At 37.2% G+C, this 23,190-nt stretch overlaps 1 protein-coding gene across 3 annotated transcripts in view; it reads right to left on the reverse strand.

The window, feature by feature from the left end:
• The window catches only part of CCDC148 (coiled-coil domain containing 148), a 285,681-nt gene that overhangs the window by 168,563 nt on the left and 93,928 nt on the right, over window positions 1–23,190 (reverse strand). For 2 of the 3 annotated variants that reach the window (NM_138803.4, NM_001301685.2), the window contains exons 2-5: window positions 18,814–18,935; window positions 5,580–5,683; window positions 963–1,045; window positions 607–758 (exon numbers count right to left, since the gene is read on the reverse strand). In NM_138803.4, coding sequence (NP_620158.3) covers window positions 607–758; window positions 963–1,045; window positions 5,580–5,683; window positions 18,814–18,935 — 461 coding nt within the window. The remainder of the gene's footprint in view (window positions 1–606; window positions 759–962; window positions 1,046–5,579; window positions 5,684–18,813; window positions 18,936–23,190) is intronic. The other variant, NM_001301684.2, reaches the window with a different exon arrangement.

Raw genomic sequence — 23,190 nt, forward strand, 5'->3', positions numbered from 1 at the left:
GGTGGTGTGATAGGGAGTGACTGTGGCTTCTCAGCACAGGCCTCTCAGACAAGAGGACATTTGAGCCAAGATCTAAATGGCAAAGAGTCACATCAACAGGACAGAGGAAATAGCCAGTACAGGAATGGGCCTGGCATGTTGGAGAAACAGAAAGAAGGCCAGCCTGGGTGTGACTGAGCTTTTATGGCAAAGTGGAAATGTCAGGTAGCAGATGTGATTGAAGAAGCAAAAAGGGGGCTATAGGTGGATAGAAGGACTTATGTACTCACAGGAGCCCCTAGGGAATTTCAGCAACAGATGACTTAATCCCCCTGTGCTGGGGTAAGATCCCAGGATGCATTGGGAGGAGAGGCAAGAATGAAAGCAGGGAAGCCAGTTATGAGGCCACTGGAACATTCCAGACAAGAAATGAGGGTGCTCGACAGAGTTCAGGCATGTGTTTAAAATATTTAGTGGATAGAATTAGCTGCCCTTCTATTTAAATATTATTTATGTATTAATATTAACTAATATACAGGTCACACATGTTTGTTTCTTATCTCAAACTCTTCTAGTTGGGACAAAAATGAAATATTACATTATGGAAAATAAAGGTAACATACTAACCTCTTCCAATACTTTCATGGAGTTAAACTCAATATGTGGGTGTGAATGCTGCAAAGTGTGATGCTGTCTGTATTTTAGATCTGCTCTCAGCTGCTGAATAGGATTTATTACATTTTTAAGATATGTGCACTGTTGTTCTGATAGCTCTTGCTCTATGGTGAAACAAAATTGAATTAAAGGAACACATTATTATTTTAAGTGTCTCCAAAAACAGATCATTAGAGTACAGATTTATTTGGGGATTTCCTTAGAAAAAAACAAATGGCAGTTAATATTAAAAGAACATGAAGTGAGTGGCCCATTCTCATTCTTCAAAATAAAACTCCCCTTTAAATATAGGATCAAAAAAATCTTACCAAAATTTGTAAGGTCACAAAGACATTCATTTCCAATGTTCTCTTCATTGAGAAGGGATTTTATTTCAGATTCCATTTTACATCTGAAATAGATGTGATCTCAATAAATGTTACAATCATAAACATACATCTAGGTTTTTAAAAAATAACCAAAGAGATATTTAGTCTAATATGGCTTTGTCATCTGTTCATTTAAACCATGTACTAAATTCCTAACATGGCTTGAGTCTTTACTAGACACTGAGGTAGATGCATAGGCTCAGGGAGAAGAAACAGCGTGAGCAAAGGCCAGCCCACAGCAGGTCCTGGCATTGCATGTGGAGAGGACCCAGAGCATTGGGAAGCACTGAAGGTCAGTAGGCTGACCTCACTTCCTCAGATCCGTGTTTCAGAAAGATTCCCAAGACAACAAGATAGAGCAGAAGGAGATGTGAGCAATAGAGATGGAAGATGAAGAGGAGGGTATCAGACAAATCTAGACCAACAAGGAGGTAATTTTAAAAGTTCAGAAAGGATGAGACCCTGAATTACAGAGGTAGAAGTATACTTTATTTTTAATATACTAATAAGAGCAACAAATCTTCATGAGCTTATATATGTATACATACGTATGTGTACGTACATATGTATACATATATATGTGTATGTATATACTAATAAGAGCAACAAATCTTCATGAGCTTATATATGTATACATATGTGTACATACATATTTTTTTTTTTTTTTTGGACTGAGTCTCGCTTGATCGCCCAGGCTGGAGTGCAGTGGCACAATCTCAGTTCACTGAAACCTCCATCTCCTGAGTTCAAGTGATCCTCGTGCCTAAGCCTCCCGAGTAGGTGGAACTACAGGCATGTGACACCACACCTAGCTAATATGTGCGTGTGTGTACTTTTATTAGAGACAGGGTTTCACTATGTGGGCCAGGCTGGTCTTGAACTCCTGACCTCAGGTGATCCGCCCACCTTGGCCTCCCAAAGTGCCAGGATTACAGGTGTGAGTCACCACACCTGGCCTACATATTTTTAAAATATAGTCATTTTTTTAGAATAAAATCATAACTAACTCTAAATGGGCATCCAAAAATATTATAGCCTACCCCTTGCTTATGGCAGATTCGATTAAATCATATAAAAGAGTTTTATGATTATTACAGTATTAAAATGGTATAATATAAAAAAGCAGCAATTATAATCCTTTAATATAATTATTATTTTAATTTTTCCAGATAAGTTTCTAGCCCTTATCTAAATGTTGATATATTTCACATGGTCATAACATGGCATATTTAACATTTTATGTTGTGGGATTTTTTTTTTTTTTTACTAACACTAACTTTTTTTTTAGATATTTCTAAATAGTTTTCATAATTATCATTTAATGACTCCATAGTATTCCATTTTATGTACGTGTCATTATTTTCTTTTCTTTTTTTTTTTTTTTTTTTTTGAGAAGGAGTCTTGCTGGGTCGCCCGGGCTGAAGTGCAATGGCGTGATCTCGACTCATTGCAACCTCCACCTCCCAGGTTCAAGCAATTCTCCTGCCTCAGCCTCCCAAGTAGCTGGGACTACAGGTGCGCGCCACCATGCCTGGCTAATTTTTGTATTTTTAGCAGAGACAGGGTTTCACCATGTTGGCTAGGCTAGTCTCAAACTCCTGACCTCAGGTGATCCACCTGCCTTGGCCTCCCAAAGTGCTGTGTCATAATTTTCTAAGCCAATTTACATGGGACAAGGTTTTGGTTTTTGTTTAAATGTATAAAGGAGGGGTGATATTGTAAGTGATACCTCACTGTCTATTTTTCCAGCAGGTAGTTTCTGCCAGAAATATTTTTAAGATCACATTTGCAACTGTTACATGGAGGATGAGTGCATAATGGTTGAGTCAAACCAGAAGTTATTCCAGAACAGATTTGTTTAACCAAAAACACAGCACTTAAAAACCATCTAGCTCGGCACCCAGAAAGTCATAACAGAGCATACTAACTGCCAAAAAATGAAGATATGGGTAATTTTTGATGTTCTGAGGAGACTGATTCTCCACTTAGAACTTTGGCACCTTTCTGGAAGGATAAGAATCTATACCAAGGTAGACACCTGAAGGCTCAAAAATGCCCTTCACCAGGGTGTCTTATCTGCAGGTGGTTGCACTGAGTAGATTAATACATCATCTGGGCAAACGAGCACACAAAAACTTAAGGGATTCTTTGTGGTACCAGAATGAAACGAGGGAGAAAGCGCCTCTGGAAAAGTGTGTCAAAAACCTCAAGGGGTATAGCTTGATTAAGCATAACACAATTTAAATAAAACTGTATAAATGTAAATATTAAACATAATTTCACATTTGAAAATTTTGTCTAGTTTTCTTAGTACAGATTTCAAAGAATCAAAGTTTGGCATATGTTTTCATTTTGTTTTGCTGTTTTTAGACATGGGGTCTCACGATGTTGCCCAGGCTAGAGTGCAGTGGCTGTTCACGGGTGCAATCATAATGTACTGAAGACTTGAACGCCTAGGCTGAAGTGATCCTCCTGCCTCAGCCTCCCACGTAGCTGGGACTACTGGTATGCACCACCACACCCTGGCAAAATTTCTTTTATTTTTGCCAGCAAGGCTAGACCAATTGCATCTCAGGTGATGTAAACAGAATCCTGTAGAAAAAGGAAAAAGCTACTCAACTCCAAGGTCATAGAGCACAGAAGTTAGGGGCAAATGTTCCAATCCCAGCTCCACACAGACTAGGTTATTTATGATCTACAAATTAACTTTCATCATCTGAGACTCAAGATTCTCATCTGTAAAACTGAGAGAGCAATAACGACTACTTTGTAGGGTCGTTGTAAATATTAAAGGAGATAAAACATGTAAAGGACTTAACATACTCGGTTGGTGCAAAAATAATTGTGGCTTTTGCCCAACCTAATATTACCTGGCACATATTAAATTACCTAACAAATGTTAGGTGTTATTGTAAGCCCTTATCCTCCGCCTGCCTGAGATTCTTAAATGTTGTCTTTTATGGTAAGGCATAGAATCTTACTTATTAAAAGGGGATGTCGATTTCTAAAGGTTGACAAACACTGTTAGGACTTTAACTACTTCTAATTTGTTGGTGGCCCTAAATTCTCCACAAGGTAGTCATTTCTCTAACTTATCTCCTATTGCTGTTAGCTTTTAGTTGCACCGAACACAAATTGCAATTAGCCTGCATTCTAGAATAACATAGAAACTTATCCTGGAATTCTTCATTTTGTCCAATTTTCAGCCCTTACAAGTTCTGAGACATTAAGGTTATCATTACTTAAGTGTTCCTCACTTCCATTTTCTTTGTGTCATTCCAGGTCAGCCAAAAGAATTATTTCCCATAATGATATGTATACACCTCTTCTACATAGCTTAAGAACAACTTAATATACACATTAAGAAAGACGTGGAATAGCCAAGATTTAAAAAAAACAAAAAACTTTACCAAGTGTCTTCCTTTACACTTGAATTTGAATCAGTGAACACCACAATTAAAGCTTCCTAATGGCTTTCCTTTTTGTCATGTTTCAAGTTATGCACATTTTCAAAAAAAAAATTCAATAGGCTCAAACATTCACTCCATAAAAGGTGACTTTTTGAGGGATAAGATGGGTCTAATTTCATTGTATTTAAAGTAGCTGTATGGTGATGAAGTCCATATAACTTTGTTTTTCTATGTTTTAAGTTACACAATAATGTAAAACCACTTTCAATTATAAGCCTTCTACTTCACATAAAGGAGTCACCTGCCAGAATAAGAAACTCATCAACATGAAAAAGACCTAAGTCAAAAGTAAAGTTAATGGCATTTACAAACTTTACTTAGAATAAGACCACAGAAATTAACTATTTTGATATAAAATAAATGCTTTAAAATGCACATTTTAGAAGCACACTTTATAAATATCATCATTAAAACAAGTATACAAGCTATAAATGAAGGAGAAACATATCTGCCTTCTCTTTTTGCCTTGACCTTTGAAAAAACTAATTTTTCAAAGATTACAATTAAGATCAACTGTAGAATCAATATTTCATTTTATCTTTACGTGACAGCTGGAAATAATAACAAAAGTCAAAAAGCAAAATTGAGTAAGTTAGTCATGATGCACTTACACCCAGAAATCATTTGCAACTTGAACTCCTTGTTCATTAGTTCATCCATGTATTAAAAGCATTTACATCTCTCCTATGTATTCTACTATATAAAAATGAATATGATGAGATGTTTGCCCGTGATAGGATCTTTACCACTTTATAGGGAGGAAAAAACATGTATCCAAAACATTATAATCCAATATGCTAAGTATGATACAAGTAAATACAAGTATGAGAGTGGGAGTGTGGAAGTGATTGACACATACAGAAGATCATCTTCTTTCCAACAGGAAGCAAAAGCCATATTAATATATTCACTGGATTTCAGATTAAGATGAGGAAATGAAAGGATTTTAATTTGACTCACATTCAAATCGTAACTTTAAATTTTTATTATAATGGTTAATTAACATGGAACATTATAGAACATCTGACAAGATAAGTGCTATTCCTAGTAATTCCTACGTGTTCTTACTATGTCCCCCAGTTCTTACCTGACTTCATTCAGCCTCTGGTATTCCTGCCACCACACTTGCTTGTGTTGTTTTATTAGTGTTTGTTCTTTGGATAACTTTGAAGTCAACATTGCTTTTCTGATCTAGATTTAGAGGAACAAAAGAGGAGCAACTTCAAAGTTTTCAGAATGTGTTTTTCACAACAGAAATGCTTAATCTGAATTTTCTAAGTTAAATAGTTTCTCTTTTAAAATTCTTATTAGTGCATCTCCTAACACAAAATCTACCTAAAATAAATTTGATTTTTTAAAGCAGGGAGGAGAAAGAAAAATGGTTGGGAATACTGACAAACTTAAAAACTGTTTTTAAAGTACTTATTAAAACAAAGGCAAAGTCATTCTATTTTCCATACATGAAATAGATAATACCTTAATTCATATAACCCCAGAAAAGTTTTCAAGAGGTTTCATTTCTCCCCTTTTGGATTTATCTTCCCTGTCAGGCATAATAGCCATCTTTATTCACATTTTTGGAGGAGAATATTTATTGAATGTATGAGAAGTTAAAAGATGTGGTCAAGATTATAAAGCTCATAAATATCAGAGTAACAAAGAACCTTGATGTTTAGATTGGCTTCTATCTGATCCCTCAGCATAAGATGGGAAAGGTTCCTTGGATAAGTTTTTAGAAGGCCTGGCTTCAACACTTACTAGAAATATGACCTTGAACACACAATTTTAGTCTTTCAACTCTAAGTGCGTCTTTGTAAAAAAATTTTTTTAATTTAAGCAAATATTTATTTGAAGATACTTAAAGAAATATGAAAAATCATGTAGCATTGAAATCTAAATTTTCAACTAAATGTAATTTTTCCTCAATTTTACTACTTTTTAAAAATGTAGCACATAATTAATGATTTTGAGTTTCAGCTGAAAGGTTATATCAGCCCTGGATCTGTTTGTCTTAGATCCATTTCTGGCTGTTTGCCTGATCTGCTCCATCTCACAGAGCAGCTTGTGTTTCTCAGGCACCCCTATCAGTTGGCTTCAGCCAAAGCAAGACCCTGGGATGGGAGACTGAAGGCAGGGAAGAAAGGAGAAGCCAAAGGATTATGTCATCTTGCCTTCTCTACTCTCACAGTCTCTAGGAGCATTTGCATTGTGTCCATTGCCCCAACTTTTCTCTGAACAGTTCCACTACGGTTCCAACTATCTCCGGGTAACCTCACCCCAGGAATTTGGCATGGCCTTGCTTCTTCTGTATGTCCCTCTGACCTACTGATGGCAGTGATTTCCTGTACTTGTCAATCTCCGTATTGCCTCCCAGTCCTTTGCCTTCTCAGTGCTATCACCTGCATAAACATTTTCCTACATTAAAAACCGCTCTACTCTAAATCCTCAAGTGATGTCTGTTCCCTGGTTAGACTCTAACTTATACTCATGGGTACTCCAAACCGAAGTATTCCATATTAACAATTTTAAACTACAAACGTGTACATCAGAAACTTGATGAAATACGCATATTTCATAATTTCTCTGCTGTTAAAGTACTTAGTACCCTAAAAGCTTTAAAAGATCAATGCTGGAAATGTAAAGACTTCAGAAGACAAGTTCTAAAAAGGAATCTTTATAATGCATGCTATTTCCAGCCGTCATTCACTGATTGCTTTAACCTTGAGTTTATCTTTCTGCTGTTCTGGTTACTGATTCAAAATTAGGGGTATAAGAAAACAACCCAAAGATTACTTTTAAAAAATACAAAGTCAAAGTCAAATATTTTCCTAAGAAGGTAAGAGTGTTACAATTATAAAATTTAGGAGGAAAGTACGTTTTTAAAAGCACAGGACCCTGCAGAAAAACATTCAGCAGTCTCTACTTTACCTACCAAAAAAATATAAGTACACAGTATTTCTAAAATCTGACACTTTAACGTTCACTTTAAGAATGCTTAAAACTCATTCCAGCCATTTACCATACACAGTCTCTAAAGTTTGTTGCAACAGATACAACTTTTAAAATTAGATTTCTTTGGCATATTTGGTACATATTGTACAAAAAAATTAAAATACATTGGTGAAAGACGGGGACACATTTTTATAGTTTGAAAAAAAATCAATGCTCTCGCCTTTGGGCCCATGGAAAGTTCAATTAAGTAGACTATAAAAGTCAAAATAAAGCTACTATTTTTCACTAGACAATTCCAATATTTTGCAGAACATACTGATTTTTTTATAAATTCACTCATTGATTCCACTTCTATCCTTGGGCCAAAAATGAAAAAAAAAAGTCTTAAAAATAACAAAAAGATTTAAAGTTCTATCTTTAACAACAGAGAGATGTCTAGGTGATTCCAATTCATTTTACTGGGCAATACACCATATGAAGTCAATACTTAGGGTGGATGATAATTTGTGCAGAATGCTGACGATTCAAAAATACTCTGGAAACATGCCAAAACAATGAATTCATAAAAGAATCAGAAACCAGGGGTTTCCTGTATATGGCTTATTGTGATGGTCCAAGATAATAAAACCCTAAATAGGTACCTTGAAATATTACAAAAGCTCTTTGAACGAGAAGATCCATCTTTTGAGACAGACGTCAATAACTAGTAGACCACTGGTTACATGTATGTATATGTTTGTCAAATTTCACTGGGACGTATGTTTGAGATATATACATTTTACTATATGTGAGTTATAGCTCAATAAAGAACTGTTAACATAAATAAAAAGAAAAAACAACTACAGTAAGATGCAATTTCTCATTTATCGGGTTGACAAAAACTCAATTGTTTAACAAAACACTGTGAGGCTACAGAAAGCATGTTCTGTCTAATATTGCTAGTGGGAATACAAAGTGATACAACCCCCATAGAAGGGAATTTGGAGATGCATCACAAGATTGCATATGGATTTATCCTGTGACCTAGCAAATTCATTTATAGAAATCCATCTGAAAACTATATTGGCAAAAGTATAAAAGATATATGCACAAAGCTATTCACTGCAGTACCATTTGTAATAGAAAAAGATTAGAGCACAAAACTTCCATCAGTAAGTGTTCTTGACAAAATTAATTGAACTTGAATCTGATCAAGTCCCTAAATATAACTATCAATTTACTGGAAATACAAGAAACAGAAAAACATGTTGAATGACACCACCAGGATGTAATCTGCCCAATTCAGACTATAAGACAAACAATACAATTTCTTCAAAAAATAAATTACAAAATACAAAAGGATAGAGGAGCAAATCTACAAAAAAAAAAAGTATAATGTACAGACCATATCTAGAAGCTTATTTAAATAATCTTTAAGACAAAATTTTTGAGACAATCAGGGAAATTTAACACTATATATTTGAAATTATTAAGACATTAACATTTTTAGACATGGTAATAGTATTGTAGGCTTTTTAAAAATCTCTATTATTTCAGAAATATATGTTGAAATATTTATGGGTGAAATATTATGATGTCTGTGATTTGCTTCAAAACAATCTGGCACAGGGGGTCATTTGTGGGTAGCAGTATAGAGGAAACAAGGGCCAAAAGTTGATCATTGTTGAAGCTGAATGATGTGACATGGAGATTCACTATACAATTCAATCCAATTGTGCATATGTTTATAATTTTCTATAACATTTTTAAAAAGAATTAATAGAGGCTTGAGCTGGACAAGAAGTATCTAAGCAAAGAAATTCAAATTTAAAAATAATTGCAAAGATCTCTTTTACAGTTAAAATACTGGGAATGTACAGTTACACACAATGTACCAAAATTGGTCTCAGTTTTTAGCCCAACTCTATTATTTGTCTTCAGGTTCAATCTCAGCCTTTGAAAGACTAGATCACTGACTGTCCACTTCAGTCTTATATAGCTGGCATCGCAGAAATTGTGCATGATCAATGACACAGTGATTATATAGATGACCATCACATCTAACTTGTTAATAATATCAGTAGTACAAATCAGACAGGTAGCTAAGTATTCTAGATGTAACTTGAAGCAATAATCTCTTTATGTGCTTTAAATGTTAACATTTTATCATTTTATTTAAATATGTTTATATTTAATATTGCCAGAGAAAAGTGCTGTAATAATTAACAATGATTATTAAAACTGTTAATTACATGTCTAAAAAAAGAGTTTATTTAAAAGGTAAAATAAACAGGGAAGTAGGCTGATAATACAAATATTTAGAGAGAATGTGTTAGCTATGTAATATTAAGAATAATAATACATTCTTTTTGAGCCTATGTATTTTTAATTCAAGTAATATATGAAAGAATAAGAGAGATACTATTATAATAATAATTCTAGTTAGTGTGGATTGTTTGGTATCTTAGCATTCAGGACATTAAAAAAAACTTTGAGTTGTATTTAATTTCCAGTTATTTAATTCCACTTAAGCCATGAGTCTTTTAAGAAAAAGTCCTATTTGGCAATTGTTCACAACTTACAAGAATAAATTAAAAGCAAAATGTCAACTTGCCACCTCTAAATTAAATTAGAAGACTCCAAAAAATAATGTACAGCAATATTCCCAATGCATCTTCCTTAATCCAGATATAATAAAAAATGAAAACTGCATGAAGAAAAAAAAGCAAGTGTTAGAAAATGATGAAGTACCTAGGACACATTTTGTTCTCACTAACTGAAATTCAAAACAACAGACATTCCAAAATGCTTTAAAAGGACAATTCCTCATCATCATGAATCTACGGAGACTAAAAATGGAAGCAAAAGCTTGTCAAAATGATTGCTACAGACTGTGAACCATTTTCATTAAAGACAAGGGATTTTTTGAGATTTGCCAAGCTATGAATCTCAGGTACACAGTTATTTCTAGAAAAGCTTCTTCCTGAATTACATTCCACTATAAACAAAAAGGTTACTGATGTTATTTAAAATGCCAGTTGAACGTGAGCATCTGTTTAACCGCACAAATATGTAAATACAGAGACCACAGTAGCCATCTAGCAGCTAACAGTGCTGAGAAATTATTGTTCCTGCACTTGATATTAAATTGTAAAAACCACAATAATTAAAAATCTGAAATATATTGATGCTTTCATAATGAGTCTATCACCAAAGAGAAATTCACTTTGATAAAATACTGATTTTAACACTCAACCATTCTACATTCAGCCAAAATGTCTTTTTTGGTACATCTCGAATGGATGGATGGTATTAGAAATATAAGTGTGTATATATACATGTATGAATATTTATTTATCTATTCCAATACTGACAAGGGTGTAGAGAATACATTTGTTTGGTATCTTTATTAAAACAATACCTTGGGAAAGAAATTTGGTAACAGGTCTCAAAAACACTAAAAAACACTCACACTTTTGGTCCAGATGTCCCAATCATGGGAATTTTTCCTATGAGAGTAGAGGATTCTAAAACATGAAAAGTATCTATGCTTGAAGTAGCATAATTTCTATTATCACAAAATTGGATACATCTCAAATATCTAAAAATTGGGGTGGGATAATGCATGCATCTTTTTCTCTTTGGAGTACTTGTCACTCCTGTTTTTACCTAGTTAATTCTTTTGTATTATATTTTTAATTGACATATTGTAATTGTGCATATTTATGGGCACAATTTGATGTTTTGATACATATATATGTTATATAAAATATACGTTAAATCAGGGTATTTTGCACGGCCATCGTCGTGTGCATTTATCATTTCTTTGTGGGGAGTATATTCAACAGCCTCTCTTCTGTTTTGTAATATACAATACCTCACTGTTACTCATCCTCACCCTACTGTGCAATAGAACACCAGAACTGATTCCTCCTATCTCATTGTAACTTCATACTTTATTGGCCTTGAGATCCCAATTCCAAAATCACTTCCTCAGAAAAGCCTTCCCTAACCACTCAGTGAAGATCAAATCCTATTATACACCAAACAGCATGGTTTTTATTGCAGTTTATACTTCGGATAATTTTACTTCCAGGCTTATTTGATAAACACTGACTCCTCTCCCTCCCCCAGCAAACAGTAAACTTCATAAAGGTAAGGGCTGACCATAGCCCAAGATGGCCGAATAGGAACAGCTCCGGTCTACAGCTCCCAGCGTGAGTGACGCAGAAGACGGGTGATTTCTGCATTTCCATCTGAGGTACCGGGTTCATCTCACTAGGGAGTGCCAGACAGTGGGCGCAGGTCAGTGGGTGGGCGCAACGTGCGCGAGCCGAAGCAGGGCGAGGCACTGCCTCACTTGGGAAGCGCAAGGGGTCAGGGAGTTCCCTTTCCGAGTCAAAGAAAGGGGCACCTGGAAAATCGGGTCACTCCCACCTGAATACTGCGCTTTTCCGACCGGCTTAAAAACCGGCGCATCACGAGATTATATCCCGCACCTGGCTTGGAGGGTCCTATGCCCACGGAGTCTTGCTGATTGCTAGCACAGCAGTCTGAGATCAAACTGCAAGGCGGCAGCGAGGCTGGGGGAGGGGCGCCCGCCATTGCCCAGGCTTGATTAGGTAAACAAAGCAGCCAGGAAGCTCCAACTGGGCGGAGCCCACCACAGCTCAAGGAGGCCTGCCTGCCTCTGTAGGCTCCACCTCTGGGGGCAGAGCACAGACAAACAAAAAGACAGCAGTAACCTCTGCAGACTTAAATGTCCCTGTCTGACAGCTTTGAAGAGAGCAGTGGTTCTCCCAGCACACAGCTGGAGATCTGAGAACGGGCAGACTGCCTCCTCAAGTGGGTCCCTGACCCCTGACCCCTGAGCAGCCTAACTGGGAGGCACCCCCCAGCAGGGGCACACTGACACCTCACACGGCAGGGTATTCCAACAGACCTGCAGCTGAGGGTCCTGTCTGTTAGAAGGAAAACTAACAAACAGAAAGGACATCCACACCAAAAACCCATCTGTACATCACCATCATCAAAGACCAAAAGTAGATAAAACCACAAAGATGGGGAAAAAACAGAACAGAAAAACTGGAAACTCCAAAAAGCAGAGTGCCTCTCCTCCTCCAAAGGAACGCAGTTCCTCACCAGCAACGGAACAAAGCTGGATGGAGAATGACTTTGACGAGCTGAGAGAAGAAGGCTTCAGACGATCAAATTACTCTGAGCTACGGGAGGACATTCAAACCAAAGGGAAAGAAGTTGAAAACTTTGAAAAAAATTTAGAAGAATGTATAACTAGAATAACCAACACAGAGAACTGCTTAAAGGAGGTGATGGAGCTGAAAACCAAGGCTCGAGAACTACGTGAAGAATGCAGAAGCCTCAGGAGCCAATGCGATCAGCTGGAAGAAAGGGTATCAGCAACGGAAGATGAAATGAATGAAATGAAGCGAGAAGGGAAGTTTAGAGAAAAAAGAATAAAAAGAAATGAGCAAAGCCTCCAAGAAATATGGGACTATGTGAAAAGACCAAATCTACGTCTGATTGGTGTACCTGAAAGTGATGGGAAGAATGGAACCAAGTTGGAAAACAGTCTTCAGGATATTATCCAGGAGAACTTCCCCAATCTAGCAAGGCAGGCCAATGTTCAGATTCAGGAAATACAGAGAACGCCACAAAGATATTCCTCGAGAAGAGCAACTCCAAGACACATAATTGTCAGATTCACCAAAGTTGAAATGAAGGAAAAAATGTTAAGGGCAGCCAGAGAGAAAGGTCGGGTTACTCTCAAAGGGAAGCCCATCAGACTAGCAGCGGATCTCTTGGCAGAAACCCTACAAGCCAGAAGAGAGTGGGGGCCAATATTCAACATTCTTAAAGAAAAGAATTTTCAACCCAGAATTTCATATCCAGCCAAACTAAGCTTCATAAGTGAAGGAGAAATAAAATACTTTACAGACAAGCAAATGCTGAGAGATTTTGTCACCACCACGCCTGCCCTAAAAGAGCTCCTGAAGGAAGCCCTAAACACGGAAAAGAACAACCGGTACCAGCCGCTGCAAAATCATGCCAAAATGTAAAGACCATCGAGACTAGGAAGAAACTGCATCAACTAACGAGCAAAATCACCAGCTAACATCATAATGACAGGATCAAATTCACACATAACAATATTAACTTTAAATGTAAATGGACTAAATTCTCCAATTAAAAGACACAGACTGGCAAATTGGATAAAGAGTCAAGACCCATCAGTGTGCTGTATTCAGGAAACCCATCTCACGTGCAGACACACACATAGGCTGAAAATAAAAGGATGGAGGAAGATCTACCAAGCAAATGGAAAACAAAAAAAGGCAGGGGTTGCAATACTAGTCTCTGATAAAACAGACTTTAAACCAACAAAGATCAAAAGAGACAAAGAAGGCCATTACATAATGGTAAAGGGATCAATTCAACAAGAAGAGCTAACTATCCTAAATATATATGCACCCAATATAGGTGCACCAAGATTCATAAAGCAAGTCCTGAGTGACCTACAAAGAGACTTAGACTCCCACACATTAATAATGGGAGACTTTAACACCCCACTGTCAACATTAGACAGATCAAGGAGACAGAAAGTCAACAAGGACACCCAGGAATTGAACTCAGCTCTGCACCAAGCAGACCTAATAGATATCTACAGAACTCTCCACCCCAAATCAACAGAATATACATTTTTTTCAGCACCACACCACACCTATTCCAAAATTGACCATATAGTTGGAAGTAAAGCTCTCCTCAGCAAATGTAAAAGAACAGAAATTATAACAAACTATCTCTCAGACCACAGTGCAATCAAACTGGAACTCAGGATTAAGAATCTCACTCAAAACCACTCAACTACATGGAAACTGAACAACCTGCTCCTGAATGACCACTGGGTACATAACGAAATGAAGACAGAAATAAAGATGTTCTTTGAAACCAATGAGAACAAAGACACAACATACCAGAATCTCTGGGACACATTCAAAGCAGTGTGTACAGGGAAATTTATAGCACTAAATGCCCACAAGAGAAAGCAGGAAAGATCCAAAATTGACACCCTAACATCACAATTAAAAGAACTAGAAAAGCAAGAGCAAACACATTCAAAAGCTAGCAGAAGGCAAGAAATAATGAAAATCAGAGCAGAACTGAAGGAAATAGAGACACAAAAAACCCTTCAAAAAATTAATGAATCCAGGAGCTGGTTTTTTGAAAGGATCAACAAAATTGATAGACCGCTAGCAAGACTAATAAAGAAAAAAAGAGAGAAGAATCTAATAGACACAATAAAAAATGATAAAGGGGATCTCACCACCGATCCCACAGAAATACAAACTACCATCAGAGAATACTACAAACACCTCTACGCAAATAAACTAGAAAATCTAGAAGAAATGGATAAATTCCTCGACACATACACTCTCCCAAGACTAAACCAGGAAGAAGTTGAATCTCTGAATAGACCAAGAACAGGATCTGAAATTGTAGCAATAATCAATAGCTTACCAACCAAAAAGAGTCCAGGACCAGATGGATTCACAGCTGAATTCTACCAGAGGTACAAGGAGGAACTGGTACCATTCCTTCTGAAACTATTCCAATCAATAGAGAAAGAGGGAATCCTCCCTAACTCATTTTATGAGGCCAGCATCATTCTGATACCAAAGCCGGGCAGAGACACAACAAAAAAAGAGAATTTTAGACCAATATCCTTGATGAACATTGATGCAAAAATCCTCAATAAAATACTGGCAAAACGAATCCAGCAGCACATCAAAAAGCTTATCCACCATGATCAAGTGGGCATCATCCCTGGGATGCAAGGCTGGTTCAATATACGCAAATCAATAAATGTAATCCAGCATATAAACAGAGCCAAAGACAAAAACCACATCATTATCTCAATAGATGCAGAAAAAGCCTGTGACAAAATTCAACAATCCTTCATGCTAAAAACTCTCAATAAATTAGGTATTGATGGGACGTATTTCAAAATAATAAGAGCTATCTATGACAAACCCACAGCCAATATCATACTGAATGGGCAAAAACTGGAAGCATTCCCTTTGAAAACTGGCACAAGACAGGGATGCCCTCTCTCACCACTCCTATTCAACATAGTGTTGGAAGTTCAGGCCAGGGCAATTAGGCAGGAGAAGGAAATAAAGGATATTCAATTAGGAAAAGAGGAAGTCAAATTGTCCCTGTTTGCAGACGACATGATTGTTTATCTAGAAAACCCCATTGTCTCAGCCCAAAATCTCCTTAAGCTGATAAGCAACTTCAGCAAAGTCTCAGGATACAAAGTCAATGTACAAAAATCAGAAGCATTCTTATATACCAGCAACAGAAAAACAGAGAGCCAAATCATGAGTGAACTCCCATTCACAATTGCTTCAAAGAGAATAAAATACCTAGGAATCCAACTTACAAGGGATGTGAAGGACCTCTTCAAGGAGAACTACAAACCACTGCTCAAGGAAATAAAAGAGGATACAAACAAATGGAAGAACATTCCATGCTCATGGGTAGGAAGAATCAATATCGTGAAAATGGCCATACTGCCCAAGGTAATTTACAGATTCAATGCCATCCCCATCAAGCTACCAATGCCTTTCTTCACAGAATTGGAAAAAACTACTTTAAAGTTCATATGGAACCAAAAAAGAGCCCGCATCGCCAAGTCAATCCTAAGCCAAAAGAACAAAGCTGGAGGCATCACACTACTTGACTTCAAACTATACTACAAGGCTACAGTAACCAAAACAGCATGGTACTGGTACCAAAACAGAGATATAGATCAATGGAACAGAACAGAGCCCTCAGAAATAACGCCGCATATCTACAACTATCTGATCTTTGACAAGCCTGAGAAAAACAAGCAATGGGGAAAGGATTCCCTATTTAATAAATGGTGCTGGGAAAACTGGCTAGCCATATGTAGAAAGCTGAAACTGGATCCCTTCCTTACAGCTTATACAAAAATCAATTCAAGATGGATTAAAGACTTAAACGTTAGACCTAAAACCATAAAAACCCTAGAAGAAAACCTAGGCATTACCATTCAGGACATAGGCATGGGCAAGGACTTCATGTCTAAAACACCAAAAGCAATGGCAACAAAAGACAAAATTGACAAATGGGATCTAATTAAAATAAAGAGCTTCTGCACAGCAAAAGAAACTACCATCAGAGTGAACAGGCAACCTACAAAATGGGAGAAAATTTTCGCAACCTACTCATCTGACAAAGGGCTAATATCCAGAATCTACAATGAACTCAAACAAATTTATAAGAAAAAAACAAACAACCCCATCAAAAAGTGGGCGAAGGACATGAACAGACACTTCTCAAAAGAAGACATTTATGCAGCCAAAAAACACATGAAAAAATGCTCATCATCACTGGCCATCAGAGAAATGCAAATCAAAACTACAATGAGATACCATCTCACAACAGTTAGAATGGTGATCATTAAAAAGTCAGGAAACAACAGGTGCTGGAGAGGATGTGGAGAAATAGGAACACTTTTACACTGTTGGTGGGACTGTAAACTAGTTCAACCATTGTGGAAGTCAGTGTGGCGATTCCTCAGGGATCTAGAACTGGAAATACCATTTGACCCAGCAATCCCATTACTGGGTATATACCCAAAGGACTATAAATCATGCTGCTATAAAGACACATGCACACGTATGTTTATTGCGGCATTATTCACAATAGCAAAGACTTGGAACCAACCCAAATGTCCAACAATGATAGACTGGATTAAGAAAATGTGGCACATATACACCATGGAATACTATGCAGCCATAAAAAATGATGAGTTCATGTCCTTTGTAGGGACATGGATGAAATTGGAAAACATCATTCTCAGTAAACTATCGCAAGAACAAAAAACCAAACACTGCATATTCTCACTCATAGGTGGGAACTGAACAATGAGATCACATGGACACAGGAACGGGAATATCACACTCGGGACTGTTATGGGGTTGGGGGAGGGGGGAGGGATAGCATTGGGAGATATACCTAATGCTAGATGACGAGTTAGTGGGTGCAGTGCACCAGAATGGCACATGTATACATATGTAACTAACCTGCACTATGTGCACATGTACCCTAAAACTTAAAGTATAATAAAAAATAAAAAAAAAGAAGACAAAAAAAAATAACATAGCCTGGGTGGCTTAAAAAAAAACAAAAAAAAAGGTAAGGGCTATATTTTGCTGACTATTGTATCTTCAAGGCAAATAGTAGGCACATAATAAATATTTATGGGCTTGAACAATTAAATATTTAAAAGATTATGTGATAGACTATTAGGGAGAAAAGTATACATGATTTCATGCCTATGTTTATCATGAGAAAAATAAAATATGTATTATGTTTATGTTTACATATATGTGTACAATAAACAGAAGTCAGGAATATGAAAAGTTTTGTTAGGATGATAGTAATATAAGTGACTTTACCATAAAATTTCTTTGAATGTTCCCATAACATTAACTTATTTTAAAGTTATATAAACCAAATAAATAATTCCCTGGCTTTTAAGTGGTCGCCTTAGTTTGAGGAGATATGTCCCATGAATATACGGTAATCTCTCCAGAATAGAGTATCAAATGTGCTTTGAAATAATAACAATTGCCTTCTATAAAAAAAGATATTAACAATAAAAGGCAAAACAAACAAACCATGAAAATTTTAAATACAAATAACTTGTAAATTACGTAACAAGTTGCTTCACCTAACCTGTTTTTTGATGCAGCCAAGTAATGAAAATACTGTTTTCAATGAACGCTATTATTTGCACAAGAGAGAATCACAGTGTGTGAGTAATCCTAAACTACACATGGTCCTAAAATACTGTGCAAAATCACTTGCACATAATCTCCTTTCAAATCTAGCCTAGGTTCACCCTGGCTTGGAACATATATTTAAGCCAAAAACAGAATTCTAGAAAAGAGAGCACCTGAGGACATATTTGTATAGTGTTGGAGAAGGAGCCTTAATCAGATAATAGTCCATGGCTGGTAATTACTAACAATTTTTATTCTTCAGATTAAGTTGGAAGTTGTTGAAAGCCAATAAAATAACTGTCTTTAAAAAAATAAAGTTGAATTCAGACCTGAAAGAGTTGTTCTGAACATTAAATGGGTAATGTATGAATGCATGTAAACTATATAATGGTGTCCGAGAGCATTCGATAAATGTTAGCTGCTATTCACTATTATTTCTACTTGGGAGTTTCTAACAACTATTTGGAATGTCATTTATTTTCACATTGACAATGTAAATACTTTCCAGCAATTCGATTTTCTAAAACTAGAAAAACACATACACACACAACTTCTAACCTTTAGCTTTGCAGAGGCAGAAGCCAATTTCTTTGCTTCAGTTAATGCACGCAATTGTTGATAGTCTACTGGTTTGTACTTGATGTTTCTCATCTCATTTTTCATATGGAATACCAGATTATCTATTAGTCATAAAAATAGAAAAATGACAAAGAAAGAATATCATGTTATTGGAAGTCAAAATATAATTAGGGCAACATGTTGACTTCAGATCTTATTTTTAAATATTTTTAAGCAAATATAAGAAATAATATATTACAATATTAATAATATATTTGAGGCCTCTATTTCTAGAAATTATTATAATATAGCCACTTTATTTCTTGCACAGCATTACTTCTGAAAGGGTACAGAGGGAATGCTTTCATCTAAGTTAGTACCATATATTGAAGATTTTAGAAAATTATAATACCAAGCTACAAAGTATGACGACTGTTAACCCATTCTTTTTATTTAAAATGTGATAGACATCAACTGTGAATATTAAGTATCACATCATTATAAATCAAATTATATAAACAGATTTTTCAGTCATAGATGCATTTTTAACTTAGAAAAATCTAAATAATTTTAACTAATTTGAAAAAACGGTTGAAACTGAAAGCTAAAAGTTTAATACGTTGAAAAATATTAAAATGATGTAAAATGTCTGAGTAATCTACATCCAAATACATACAATGTCCTAGTCTGGTATGATATGAAAACCATAACATAAAGTAAAACATAAGTGAGGGTTACTCTAAGTTCAAGTAGCATAAAGTACAATAACTTGAGTAAATCGAACAAAACATGTACTTCCACCTCAATTATATGAATAATTCATCTGTGTCATATAAAGTAATTGGATTTATTAAGTAAATCATGGATCACATGACTATAGGAAGCTCTCAAATGATTTCAGGCCAATCACAGTGAAAGAAAACAAGGGTAGGGCGACCTGGCAATATGGCCAAATAGGAACAGCTCTGGTCTGCAGCGCCCAGCTAGATCGATGCAGAAGGTGGGTGATTTCTGCATTTCCAACTGAGGTGCCTGGCTCATCTCATTGGGACTGGTTAGACAGTGGGTGCAGCCCACAGACAGCAAGCCGAAGCAGGGTGGGGTGTCACCTCACCCAGGAAGCACAAGAAGTTGGGGAAACTCCCTCCCCTAGCCAAGGGAAGCCATGAGGGACTGTGCCGTGAGGAATGGTGCACCCCAGCCCAAATACTACACTTTTTCCCATGGTCTTTGCAACCCACAGACCAGGAGATTTCCTCAAATGCCTATGCCACCAGAGCCCCGGGTTTCAAGCACAAAACATTACAGCAGACACCAAGCTAGCTGCAGGAGTTTTTTTCATACCCTAGTGGCACCTGGAATGCCAGTGAGACAGAACCATTCACTCCCCTGGAAAGGGGGCTGAAACCAGGGAGCCAAGTGATCTAGCTCTGTGGATCCCACCCATATGGAGCCCAGCAAGCTAAGATCCACTGGCTTGAAATTCTCACTGCCAGCACAGCAGTCTGAAGTTGACCAGGAATGATTGAGCTTTTGTGGGGGTAGGCGCATCTACCATTACTAAGGCTTGAGTAGGCGGTTTCCCCCTCACAGTGTAAACAAAACCACAGGGAAGTTCCAACTGGGCGGAGCCCTCTGAAGCTCAGCAAATCTGCTGTAGACAGACTACTTCTGTAGATTCCTCCTCTATGGGCAGGGAATCTCTGAACAATAGGCAGCAGCCTGAGTCAGGGACTTATAGATAAAACTCCCATCACCCTGGGACAGAGCACTTGGAGGAAGGGGCAGCTGTGAGCGCAGCTTCAGCAAACTTAGACGTCCCTGCCTGTCAGCTCCTTGCAGCGGATCTCCAAGCATAATGTTCGAGCTCTGCTAGGGGTCAGACTGCCTCCTCAACTGGGTCACTGACCCCCATGTCTCCTGACTGGGAGACACCTCCCAGCAGGGGCAGACAGACATCTCATACAGGAGAGCTCCAGCTGGCATCTGGTGGGTGGCCCCTCTGGGACAAAGCTTCCAGAGGAAGGAAGAGGCAGCAACCTTTGCTGTTCTGCAGCCTCCACTGGTGATACCCAGGTAAACAGAGTCTGGAGTGGACCTCCAGCAAACTCTAGCAGACCTGCAGCAGAGGGGCCTGACTGTTAGAAGGAAAACTAACAAACAGAAAGGAATAGCATCAACATCAACAAAAAGGATGTCCACTCGGAAACCCCAGCCGAAGCTTACCAACATCAAAGACCAAAGATAGATAAATCCACGAAAATGGGGAGAAGCCAGTGCAAAAAGGCGGAAAATTCCAAAAACCAGTACGCCTCTTCCACTCCAAAGGATCATGACACCTCGTCAGCAAGGGAACAAAACTGGATGGAAAATCAATTTGACGAACTGACAGAAGTAGGCTTCAGAAGGTGGGTAATAACAAACTCCCCCAAGCTAAAGGAGCATTTCTAACCTAATGCAAGGAAGCTAAGAACCTTGAAAAAACTTAGTTGAACTGCTAACTAGAATAACCAGTTTAGAGAAGAACATAAATGACCTGATGGAGCTGAAAAACCCAGCACAAGAACTTTGTGAAGAATACACAACTATCAATAGCTAAATCGATCAAGCAGAAGAAAGGATATCAGAGATTAAATATCAACTTACTAAAATAAAGCGTGAAGACAAGATTAGAGAAAAGAGAATGAAAAGGAACAAACAAAGCCACCAAGAAATATGGGACTATGTGAAAAGACCAAACCTACGTTTGATAGGTATACCTGAAAGTGACAGGGAGAATGGAACCAAGTTGGAATGCACTCTTCAGGATATTATCCAGGAGAACTTCCACAACCAAGCAAGACAGACCAATATTCAAATTCAGGAAATACAGAGAACACCACAAAGATTTTGCTTGAGAAGAGCAATCCCAAGACACATAATCATGAGATTCACCAAGGTAGAAATGAAGGAAAAAATGTTAAGGGCAGTCAGAGAGAAAGGTTGGTTACCCACAAAGGGAAGCCCATCAGACTAACAGCGGATCTCTCTGCAGAAACCCTACAAGCCAGAATACAGTGGGGGCCAATATTCAACATTCTTAAAGAAAAGAATTTTCAACCCAGAATTTCATATCCAGCCAAACTAAGCTTCATAAGTGAAGGAGAAATAAAATACTTTACAGACAAGCAAATGCTGAGAGATTTTGTCACCACCAGGCCTGCCTTACAAGAGCTCCTGAAGGAAGCACTAAACATGGAAAGGAACAACCGGTACCAGCCACTGCAAACACGTAGCAAATTGTAAAGACCATCAGCACTACGAAGAAACAACAACAGACAAAATAACGAGCTAGCATCATGATGACAGGATCAAATTCACACATAACAATACTAACCTTAACTGTAAATGGGCTAAATGCCTTTAATTAAAAGACACAGACTGACAAATTGAATAAAGAGTCAAGACCCATCAGTGCGCTGTATTCAGGAGATCCATCTCATGTGCAAAGATACACATAGGCTCAAAATAAAGGGATGGAGGAATATTTACCAAGCAAATGGAAAGCCAAAAAAAAAAAAAAAAACAGCAGGGATTGCAATTTAGTCTCTGACATAACAGACTTTAAAACAACAAAAATCAAAAGAGACAAGGTCATTACATAATGCTAAAGGGATCAATGGAACAAGAAGAGCTAACTATCCTAAATATATATGCACCCAATACAGGACCACCCAGATTCATAACACAAGTTCTTAGAGACCTACAAAGAGACTTAGACTCCCACACAATAATAATGGGAGACTTTAACACCCTACTGTCAATATTAGAACAACGAGAAAGAAAATTAACAAGGATATTCAGGACTTGAACTCAGCTCTGGATCAAGCAGACTTAATAGACAGCTACAGAACTCTCCACCCCAAATCAACAGAATATACATTCTTCTCAGCACCACATCGCACTTACTTTAAAATTGACCACAAAGTTGGAAGTAAAACGCTCCTCAGCAAATGCAAAAGAATGGATATTATAGCAGTCTCTCAGATCACAGTGCAATCAAATTAGAACTCAGCATTAAGAAACTCACTCAAAACTGCACAACTACATGGAAACTGAACAACCTGCTCCTGAATGACTACTGGGTAAATAATAAAATTAAGGCAGAAATAAAGATGTTCTTTGAAACCAATGAGAACAAAGACACAAGGTACCAGAATCTCTGGGAAACAGCTAAAGCAGTGTGTAGAGGGAAATTGATAGCACTAAATGCCCACAAGAGAAAGCATGGGAAAGATCTAAAATTGACACCCTAACATCACAATAAAAAGAATTAGAGAAGCAAGAGCAAACAAATTCAAAAGCTAGCAGAAGACAAGAAATAACTAAGATCAGAGA

Source organism: Homo sapiens, chromosome 2, assembly GCF_000001405.40.
Source record: "Homo sapiens chromosome 2, GRCh38.p14 Primary Assembly".
Lineage (NCBI taxonomy): Eukaryota > Metazoa > Chordata > Mammalia > Primates > Hominidae > Homo > Homo sapiens.